Below are 11,734 nucleotides of genomic sequence, written 5' to 3' on the forward strand. Positions count from 1 at the left end.
AGTTCCAGGAGCCTTTTGTTGGAGTCTATGGGGTTTTCTATGTATAGAATCATATCATCAGCAAAAAGAGAGAGTTCAACTTCTTCTTTTCCTATTTGGATGCCTTTTACTTCTGTCTCTTGCCTGATCACACTGGCTAGGACTTCCAGTACTGTTTTGAATAAGAGAAGTAGGAGTGGGTATCTCTGTCTTGTAGCAATTTTCTAGGGGAATAATTCCAGCTTTTTTCTGTTCAGTACGACATTGGCTGTGGGTTTGTCATAGATGTCTCTTATTATTTTGAGATATGTTTCCCTGATGCTTAGTCTGTTGAGGGTTTTTATCATAAAAGAATGTTGGATTTTATTGAAGGCTTTTTCCGCATTTATTAAGATGATCATATGGTCTTTGTTTTTTATTGTGTTTATGTGGTGAATCACATTTATTGATTTTCATGTTGAACCAATCTTGCATCTCAGGAATAAAGCCTACTTGATCAAGGTGAATTAACTTTTTGATGTGCTCCAGGATGCTAGTATTTTGTTAAGGATTTTTGTGTCTATAATCATCAGGGGTATTGGCCAAATGTTTTCTTTAATCATTGTTTCTCTGCCAGATTTTGATATCAGGATGATGCTGGCTTCATAGATTGAGTCAGGGAGAAGTCCCTCTTCCTTGATTTTTTTTTGGAATAGTTTCAGTAAGATTGGTATCAGTTCTTCTTTGTATGTCTGGTAGAATTTGGCTGTAAATCCATTATATTAGTCCATTCTCATGCTGCTATGAAAAAATACCTAAGACTGGGTAATTTATAAAGAAAAGAAGTTTAATTGACTCACAGTTCTGCATGACTGGAGAGGTCTCAGGAAACTTACAATCATGGCAGAAGGCACCTCTTCACAGGGTGGCAAGAGAGAGAATGAGTGTCAAGCAAAGGGGGAAGCCCCTTAAAAACCATCAGATCTTGCAAGAACTCATGAGAACAGTATGAGGGAAACCACCCCTGATTTAGTCATCTCCATCTGGTCCTGCCCTTGACATGTGGGGATTATTACAATTCAGGAGAGATATGGGTGGGGACACAGAGCCAAACCACATCATTTATCTGTTCCAGGGCTCCTTTTGGGTGATACAGTTTTATTTTTTATTACTGATTCAATTTCAAACTTGTTATTGGTCTATTCAGATTTTCACTTTCCACCTGGTTCAAAATTGGGAGTTTGTGTGTTTCCAGAAATTTATCCATTTCCTCTCAATTTCTTAATATGTGTGCATAGAGTTGTCTTACTAGTCTCTGAGGATCTTTTGCATTTCTGTGGGATTGGTTGTAATGTCTTCTTTGTCATTTTTTATTGCATCTACTTGGATCTTCTCATTTTTTGTTCTGTTAATCTAGTTAGCCGTCTATGAATCTTGTTTATTGTTTTGAAAAACCAACTCTTGGTTTCATTGACCTTTTATATGGACTTCGGGGTCTCAATTTGTGTAAGTTATTATCTGATCTTTGTTATTTGTTTTCTTCTACCAGCTTTGTGGTTGGATTGCTCTTTTTTTCTTCTTATTCTAGGTGCAATGTTAGATCATCAATATGAGATCTTTCTAACCTCTTCAGGCAGACATTTAGCACTATAAATTTTCCTCTTAATGCTGCTTTAGTTGCATCTCAAAGATTTTATGGTGTCTCTATTTTCATTAATTTCAAATAATTTTTTGATTTTTGCCTTTATTTCGTTGTTCACCCAAGAGTTATTCAGAAACAAGTTGTTTAATTTTCACATTTTTGTGTATTTTTGAAAGATCTTGGTATTGATTTGTATGTTTATTGCACTGTGGTCTAAAAGTGTCTTTGGTATGAGTTCACCTTTTTTTAAATTTATTGAGACTTGCTTTATGGCAAGCTTGTGATTGATCTTAGAATATTCTCTGTGTGTAGATTAAAAGAACGTATCTTCTATGGTTGTTAAATTGAGTATTCTGTAGATTTCTATTCAGTCCAATTGGTCAAGTACTGAGTTTAAATTCATAATTTCTTTGTTAGTTTTCTGCCTCAATAATTTGTCTAGTGCTGTCAGTGGGGTGTTGAAGTTCCCCATTATTATTCTGTTGCCATTTAAGTCTTTTCATAGGTCAAGAAAAACTTGTTTTATTAATCTGGGTGCTTTAGTGTTAGGTGCATATATATTTATGATAGTTACGTCTTGTTTAATTGAATCCTTTATCATTATGTAATGCCCTTCTTTATCCTTCCTGATTGTTTTTTGTTTGTTTGTTTAAAGTCTGTTTTATTAGATATAAGAATAGTGACACTTCTGCTTTATTTTCTATTTGCATGGTAAATCTTTCTGTAGTTTTGTTTATTTGTTTGTTTTGTTTCGGTTTGGTTTTTTTTTTTTTTCTGTTTACTTTGAGCTTGTGGGTGTTATCACAAAGTGAGATGTGTTTCTTGAAGACAGCAGAGGGCTGGGACTTTTTATCCAGTTTGCCACTCTGTGCCTTTTAAGTGGGGACATTTAGACCATTTACATTAAGGTTTAACATTGATATACATGATTTTGATCCTGTCATTATGTTGTTGGCTGTTTGTTTTGTAGACTTGATTGTGTAGTTTCTTTATATTTTATTTGGGCTATGTGCTTGATTGTGTTTTTTTCTGGTAGCAGGTTTCAAACTTTTATTTCCATGTTTAGCACTACCTTAAGGATCTCTTGTAAGGCTGGTCTGGTAGTAACAAAATCCCTTAGTTCTTGCTTATCTGAGAAGGATTTTATTTCTCCTTTGCTTATGAATCTTAGTTTGGCAAGATATGAGATTCTTGGTTGGAGTTTCTTTTCTGTAGGAATGCTGAAAATAGGCCCACAGTCTCTTTTGGCTGGTAAGGTTTCTTATAATAAGTCTGCTGTTAGTCTGATGGGCTTCCCTTTGTAGGTAACCTAATCTTTTTCTCTAGCTGCCTTTATGATGTTTTCTTTTGCATTGACCTTGGTAATTCTGATGAATCTATGCCTTGGTGGATCTCATGATCATCTTGTAGCTTGCAAGGGTTATTTTGTAGTTTTTGAATTTTTATGTCCTCCTCTCTACCAAGATTGGGAAAATTTTCATGGACTATATCCTCAAATATGTTTTCCAATTTTCTATACTCTCTCTCCTTCTCTTTCAGGAATACCAATGAGTTATAGATTTGGTTTCTTTACATAATTCTATATTTTTGGAGGTTTTGTTCATTTTTTGAAATTATCTTCATTTTTGTCTAACTGAGTTGATCAGAAGAACCAATTTTCAAGCTCTGAGATTGTTTCCCCAACTTGATCTATTGGGTTTCAATTTTCTGCTAACTCCTGGTGATCTTCCTTCCCACTTAGATTCTGAATTCCACATCTGCCATTTCAATCATCTCCATCTCGTTAACAACCTTCCCTGGGGGCCTAGTGTATTTGTTTGGAGGTAAAGAGCCACACTGGCTTTTGAGTTGGTAGAGTTCTTGCACTAATTCTTTCTCATCTATGAGGGCTGGTGCTCCTTTAACTGTGGTATAAGTTGAGTATAGTCAGTTGGCTTTATTTCTGGGTATTTGTAGAAGGTCAAGACTGTGCAGAATCTTTATCTGTGGCTGGATTTTTTTCTTAGTTTTCACAGGCACTGTATACTGGCAGCATATTTTGGTGTTGTATTGTGGGCTTCAATCCAGTCGGTGGCACTTAAGAGTATTGGCCAGCAGATAGGCTCTTAGCCTTTTGGCGCAGTTGGCAGAAGTGTTCTGTGGTAGGGGAAAGAGAGATTATCCCCCTCACATGGTCTGCTTCTGGGCTTTGAAAGAGCTACAACCAGTCACTGGCTCTGCACCCATATTTTCTTTGTTAGGTGCTCTGGTCCATGGGGATCCTTCAGGCAGAAGCCATGGTTGGCAGACAGGCCATGCCCTTTCCAGGCTGGTTCTGCAGAGGGAGGTATGCCCCAACCTCCACCAATCCACAAACCCAGGTGTCTCACCTCTCTCAGTGTTCTGAGAGTGAGGGCTCCCCTCCTGCTTGGGTGCCACCCAAGCCAGTGAGTCCTGACTGGCTAGGAGCAATGAGGGTGGGTGGAATCATCTGTTCCACCATCTGACATCCAAGTGCTTCCTGGGAGAACATGGGGCTGTGCCCACCTGCAGAGTTCAGGCAGAAGTGGGTCCACTGTGCTGGAAGTCCCAGCAGGCATGACCCATTCAACTAGGAGTGGGGAGGGTGGGTAGAGTTGTCCGCTCTGCTCTCCGGTTCTTTCTAGGGAAACACAGGGCTGCACTTACCACAAAATTCAGGCAGAAGCAGGACCAGTTTCCTGGAAGCTGTCATTGAGCCTTGTCTAGTGAGGGTTTGTGGAGCAATCTTACTGCTTCCAGGCACTGTCACTGTGGCCGCTATGGGGGCTATGGCACTGGCACCAGGCTTCTCCAGATCCCAAGGCCCATGTGGGGCCCCACAGACATGAGTGTTGCCTCCACAAATCTGCAGGCACTTTCTTTATTGGTCTAGAGGCAAAGAGGTTTAGAGGGAGTCTCTCATTCTCAGCATTTCACAGGCCCTTGTGGAAAGTTTGGATCCCGTGGGGGCTCTCACTCATTCACCCTTTCCCCATGTTGAGGAGCTTCTCCTGGCTCCATACCAATCCCAGATAGGCAGCTACTCAGCTTCATTCTTCTCTGTTCTCCCCTCACTCTTTTGATGGATCCCCATATGGTTTCTTAGATAATCAGCTTCCAGGATCAGTGTTTACTCATCACTTTGTCCCCTCTCTTTAACAGTGGTGATCAGGAGCTGCCTCTGCTCTATCATCTTGAGTCTTTAAGCTGATCCTTACTCCACTCTAACAAAAGACTACAGCTGAATGAGAATGAGTTCACTGTGTTCTTTGAGAGTTAATTCTAGCATATCTGAAATTGACCTAACCTACATGGTCCTGACAATGGACAAGGCATGCTCCTCTGGTGCTTTGATTGCCCTTCGCTCTTAGCACCTGCCTCTGTGCGTGCTCGTGCCACCCCAGCCTTTTAACCACTCCTGTCCCGTGGCTTTGCTGTGCTGCTCTGTGTTGATCTGTTGTTCCTCCGGCCCAGCTCTGTTCACTGGCAGTGCCAGACTCCTTGCCAAGTGCCTATTGAGGTATGAAAGCCCACTTAGGCCTCCCCTTGTTTAGTTCCTTCCCTGGAACCTGATTAACCCTTCTTCACTTCTAGTCATCCCATCCTAAAGAATGAAAAAGGTGCAGCCCAAATAATTTAAAAATATGTCGGCATACATTGAATTGAAAGGCTTAAACATCTCCTTGAAGTCTGGCTATTTGGTAAAGATAAATAAATAAATAAATAAATAAATAAAGGCTTAAACTTTCTTCATGTCCTAAAATATAAAGGTCTAAATTCTCTTCTACTCTGTGCTGACTGCTGAGGGAAGGAATGAGAGAAGGGGTACAGAGATTGAATGTCCATGGTTAATAAGCATTCCACTGGCAATTGAGGGCTTTCTATGCCAGCCACAGTGTTTCTGGGCAGAAAAAATAAGGTCATTCTTTCAACAATTTGCACCACTAAAATACATAGTGAGAGCTCCTACTTTTTGCCTATCATGAAAGCAGAGTTTGAAGTTTTTGAGGACAGGCTGGAGGATATCAGCTCTTCTATTACTGTTCCAGGAAAATAATAGCCATGGATTTTTTTGAATATCATAAAAGGCAAAAAGGAAACTTGTATGTAGACCCATTCCATCATCCAGGCAACTAACAGGTATTCAACCTCACCACGTGCTGGGCACTCTCTGAGTACAAGAGATACAGCAGTGATCAAGACATTCTAGGGGGAATGCAAATGATCAACAGGGCACTGAACAATTATGTTATGTGATTCCAGGCAGTAGAAGAGTGATAAAGAACATAAACTAGAGTGAGGGGATAGGGAGTGATTATCTCCTCTGAGAAAAACACATCAGTATGGTCAAACCATATGACTCAGAAGGGATAGGAAAAAAAGAGAATGACATTTCCCCAGGCCTGTTGTTTTTCACCAAGAATGCTTTTTATACACAGTGATTTTTCAATGTCCAAATTAGTGATTCACAATCAGAGTGTCTGCCCTTGCTAGAGAGATATGTTAAAGGTTTAAGTCAGATAGCATTTGAAAAAGTGTCATCTACAATTCCATTGATTTACTTTGCTTTAATTGTTATATATGCAGTTTTTTACATTCTAAATTACGTTAAAGGAAATTATCAGATATGTACATTATCAAGCTTGATTTTGTTTAAGGATATTTCAGAAACAATAGTCAAATTCATCAGTTCTTTTGAGAGGACAGATAGAAAAAGATAGAGACTGAGACATTTTTATTTTGATTATTAAGATGTGAAAATTAGGCATTGAAATTTCTCATGAGAAATTATTGCTCAGTTATCAGAAGTTAATTAGAGTTTTGTACTCTAGTGATTTTACACACTATTAATTTTGTTCATAAAAGAAACAATACTGTTATTATAAGTACGCTGGTCTTACTCCATAAAATTAAATCGTATGCTTACCAAGTTGGAATTTCATAATTTGGAAACTTGAATTTTTTCATCTCTCGAAGATAGAATGGGACAGCTGAACTAAAATCACTTCACAATGGCGTCTTGATGCTAATTAGCTGTACATATCAAAGTTTTCCACTTGAATCTGTCCCAGGGCATGAAGAACATCATAAACTGTGGTATTTGCAACATCATGGATGATATTCATTATCTCTGAAAATAATCCAGACTTTTCCCATATGCTTTTGCAAAGATTAAGACTGGGTTGTCTTCTCCTATAATTTTTGTGAATCTGATGGGAAGTTTTCCCATTCGTTCAAGGTACTTACAAATGAGATACGATATGGGAAAAATGAATCAGATTTGTCACAACAGATTTGCTGTGCAGTTTGTGGTCTTTGGGATGCAGGAATGCTAAATTCTGTTCAAGAGCTGCAATCTTTATCCTGGAAGGATCACTGGAACTATTTCCCATGTAAATCAACCAGATTTGGAAGCAACATTTAGAGCAAAGAAAATGTTCATGTTGATTTTGAATTTGGTCTTTACTGATCGGATACTGCCAGCTATTTTTTCCCATTTGTTTTATTTTTTAATAATTTGTATTATTTTTCATTTAAATGTATTAAATTTCATTTATATTAAAGTTTTACTAAACTTACATTGCAGTTCCTATGTTCCAGGTATTGTTCTAAGTTCTTTACAAATATTAATCTATTCTATTCTCATAACAGCCTTCTGAGTTGGATTGTATTTTTATCATGCCCACTACACAGATGGAAACATGAAGACTTTTGAAGCTCAAGAAATGCATCCATGCTCATATCCTGTTCTCCCTGCTATGTACTTACCTGAAAAAATATTTTAAATTAATTTAATATTAGTGGAACAATTAATTTAATTTTATATTTCAGTTTTCATTTGCAGTATGTGTGTATTTTAAGAGTATATTGTTAATTTCAATTCTTTACAAAATCTAAGACATTGTTTTGTAATAAACAAATTTAAGCTATTGCGTATAACAGATTAAGTTTTTTTGGATATTCTATTCATCTTATGCCTTCTAATTTTAATTTTTCTATTGCTACAGTTGGCTTTTTTTCTAAGTAGCCAATGTCTATTTACTTCTATAATATATTCTGCTCTTTTTTATCAACAATATATTTCTTTTGACTTTTCAAAAGGATTTTAGTTTATTTCTGATTTTCAGTTATGAATAAAACAGTATTCCCTCATCTGGAAGACAGAATTTCATAGAATTTCACTTCACTTTTCCGCCACTTCTTCCCTTTCTGATCCTTGAAATTATTGTGAACAATATGAAGCGTACCATTTTTATTAACCTCATTTAGCTAAAGATACATATGCATATATAGTTTTTAGAGTAATTGTCTTTGTCATTTTATGGTTTCAACAGTTGTATAAACTCTCAGCTTATCTTTTTTAATGCTAGACACTACTCATTTAATATTATACGTCCTCAATAATGAGCACATAAGTATACAGATCTTTCTAAAGCTGGAAAACAAAGCAAAACTGAGTGTAGGGCTCAAAAAAGTTCATGTTGTTCCAGGCAAAATGAATGGCAAAATGCACAGCCAGACACATCTTGAAAAACACAAGGTCAGAGACACATGAAAATCCTATGAGGATCCAGTCGGAAGAGCAAAAGGGGTTACCAATAAAATAACAAATCCGAACTTGCTTCCAGATTTCTCCTCTGCAAAAGTACGTGTCAGATCACAACATGACATGTCTGAGAGAAAAAAAAGCTGTGGTTTACAATTTCTGTTCCAAGTTGATGTTTTTGGTAATGTAAGGAGCAGATATAAATTGTCAAACATGCACTATTTGTCCCAAGTGTTCCTCACCCATGATAGTTTGACTTCAGTTCAAGATTTTCCCTCCTCTGCCTTGGGAACTCCTCACTCCACGTTGGCCTCCACTCTGTGAGGTACAGTGGTTGACGTGTTCTGGGCTAAATATCTAAATTGTTGATACAAGAGCATGAAGTTCTAAAAAATATGAGCTAAAAGTGAAGGTGAAAAACATATAATGATTTACTCAGTTAATAGAGACTTTTTAGAGACTTTTTTTGTCGTGAAAACTAAATATGCAGAAGCAAACTGTATAAACACAGTGGAGCAAATTAAAAAGGAATCGACACTCAGAAAAATCAAAAAATATACTTTAATGCAAGTTAAGTAATATAGGAAACAAAAGAAGAGAAAGATCAAATTAATGCCAGGAGATAATTTATATACAAAGCAAAGGATGCTCAACAACATACGTAATGGGCTTCCGAATTACAAAGAACAGAATCAGGACTCAAGCAGATGCCAGATACCTGTACTCTACAATGTCATTGATGTGGCTCCAACATCCAGTGACAGGGGTTTTCTTTGCAGGGATTGGGGATGAGGATGGAGGAGGATAGAGAGGAGGTGTGATAAAACACACTGTTATGTTAAATATACATTTAGGTTTTAAGATGAAACCCCAATTTAACAAACATTAAATTGGGGAAAATTAACTTCACAATGGAGGACACATGGACAAGAATGAAGACTTTACTGATCAAAACTGGGGGTAGGCCTGGTGCAGTGGCTTGCGCCTATAATCTCAGTGTTTTGAGAGTCCAAAGCGGCAGGGCTGCTTGAGGCTAGAAATTTGCAACCAGCCTGGGCAACAAGGCAAGGCCCCATCTCTACAGAAAATTGAAAAATCAGTTGAGCATGGTGGCATGCATCTCCCGTCCTAGCTACTTGGGAGGCTGAGGGAAGAGGATTGCTTGAGCCCAGGAGTTTGAGGCTACAGTGAGCTGATTGTGCCACTGCACTCCAGCCTGCACAACAGAGGAAGACCCTTTCTGCAGAAAAAAAAACCAAAAAACTGTGGATGAAAATATTTATAAATGTAGATAGGAAAGACACATATATTTATGTATTTACATTAAATATATTATCATGAATTTGCAACGTGTTTGGAAAAGAGCCCAATTAATAAATATATTCTTAATAAAATATAAAGTGCAAAAATAAAATTATAAGGCACAGTAACCATTCACACAGCCCTCTGTATTTCTTCAAAATATGTGATCAGTGAAACATTGAAACTAACTGTTCAATGTTGTCTTTCCCACTGAGTAATAAGCTTAATGGGGAAGGAACCTCCATGGTGGATTCTCAATAAGTAGATAATTATTCATAATTAAACATGATTAATGAGAGACTAATAAAAAAGTAAGAAACTATTCTAAACTGATTGAAGATCTCAATGAAAGGAACTCTCTTATAGGAGAACATAAACTGAAAAACTGCTTCAAGAAGACGGAGAGGAAGTGAAGGCAATCTGGCTGCAACATGTGTCACCAGGGTGGATTGGGCTGATCTGGCTGGCTAGCTAGATGTCCCCTTCATCCCTCACTGCTCCATGTGCATCTCTCCCAAAGCTGCACACTCAGTCCAAGAGGACAGCCAACCCCAGTAGAAGAGGACTGGTCTTCAGTCAAACCTACGTGAGTAATTATGCTCCCCTGCTAAAACCTCCAAACAAGCTCTTAAGATGATGGAGGAAGGCACAACAGGCCATTAACAATAAAACACATTGAATAGTTAGGCAAAAAATTTCCTCCAAAAAATAAATCAGACTCTAATAATTGTACAAGTGTTTTGTCAAATCATGAAGAAGCAGATAATTTTCACTTGTTTAAAATGTTCCAGAACACAGAAATCATTTGGGAAAATGTCCAGTTAATTTTACAAGTGGCTAAAGCACCAAAAACAAAACGTAAAAAGGGAGGCAAACGTGTTTTAATTGCTTCTTTTTTGCCCCATTGGTGAGGGAGGAATTCCTGCCCTAAGGTTATGGGGAGGGCCAAGTGCATGACACATGGTGCTGGGCAGAGGGGAACGTTTATTAGTCACCTACACCCACAGCCTGGGGAGGAGGACGCTGCACTCCATGGAAGGTCACGTGGGGCTGCACTTGGAACAGACTGAACAACAAGGGCTGTGGAGAAGACTTTGTAGTATCAAGAGGATGAGGTGCCCCTGTTCCCATGGGAGGGTGTGATTGGCCTGTTTGAACGATTCCACGAGATGGCAGAAGACTGAAATCTTCTACTCAGGAATAAGCAGACACTGCTTCATCCCAGTGAAAAGGAAGGTTGTCAATTTTACCAGATGTCAAGACAGCATATAATAGTGACCCTTTTTAGGTCTTACACTACAGTATGTCTAGGGACAACACACAGACACCCCCCAATACACAATTGACAAATATTTCTTATTATTATTTATATAAACATACTCAACAAAATACTCTAAATTTGAATTAATCAGTACACTTTCAATTTAAATTTTAGTTTTATATATTAATCAATATAGTTTAAACATACCAAAATAAAGCAGGATAAATTCATGAATAGCATTGTTCAATTTTTTTAAGTTAGGTAATTACATTAATTAATGGGGCAAAGAAGAATTAAAACTTTTAGAAATTGAAAAAGGAGACACATCCACTCCCCCAACCCATATCAGAGGGATACATTAGAATTACTTAAAAGGTATAAAAAAATCCCCGCCTTCTCATATTTTCTTAATCTCCGGAATGAGAATCATGATGGAGATTTGGGTTTGTTAAAGAAGAAAACTAATCCAGAGAGATTATGTTAAACATTCAATATTCCTTACCACTAGTACTTCTTAGCAAACTAGAAAAGAACTCTTTTTAGCATCATAAAACAAATCTACTGGAAAACAAGGGCTAATACCATCCTTAGGAACAGAATGCAAGAGCCATTCCCACTACAGTTAGGAATAAGACAGCTGTGCTCCTGATCACCAGTATTTCGCTGTCTCTGGAAACTCTGTCCATGAGCTAAAGTAGGGGAAAAACTAAGGTGTAAATACCAGAAAAAAAAAATAGACAATTATTTGAGATAATGTAATTTCATCTTTTTGGAAAAAGCAAGCAAATGAATTAAAAGTTTAGTAGACCTCGTAAAAACAGAGGAAACTGGAAAATAAAATACCTGTACCATTTCTATAAGTTATTTATTTTATTTAAAATAAAACCCTGCATATATAGCACTAATAAGTTTCAAGGACTGTTTTAAGATTTTTTAAATCTTAAAAGACCGTTTTAAGATTATTTAAATATTCACTCATTTAATCCTCATAGCAGTTATGAAGTAAGTGCTATTATTGTCATTA

General features: G+C 37.3%; 1 pseudogene, besides 1 other annotated feature; it reads left to right on the forward strand.

Annotated features, from left to right (window-relative positions):
• Positions 910-959: an enhancer, noted in NCBI's record as "active region_22322". NCBI's record gives its function as "activates an Ori minimal core promoter by ATAC-STARR-seq in GM12878 lymphoblastoid cells {active_cell/tissue: GM12878}" and the evidence as "EXISTENCE:reporter gene assay evidence [ECO:0000049][PMID:35858748]".
• On the forward strand, positions 9,855-10,146 carry RN7SKP73 (RN7SK pseudogene 73; annotated as a pseudogene).

This window comes from Homo sapiens, chromosome 5 (assembly GCF_000001405.40).
Source record: "Homo sapiens chromosome 5, GRCh38.p14 Primary Assembly".
Taxonomy (NCBI): domain Eukaryota; kingdom Metazoa; phylum Chordata; class Mammalia; order Primates; family Hominidae; genus Homo; species Homo sapiens.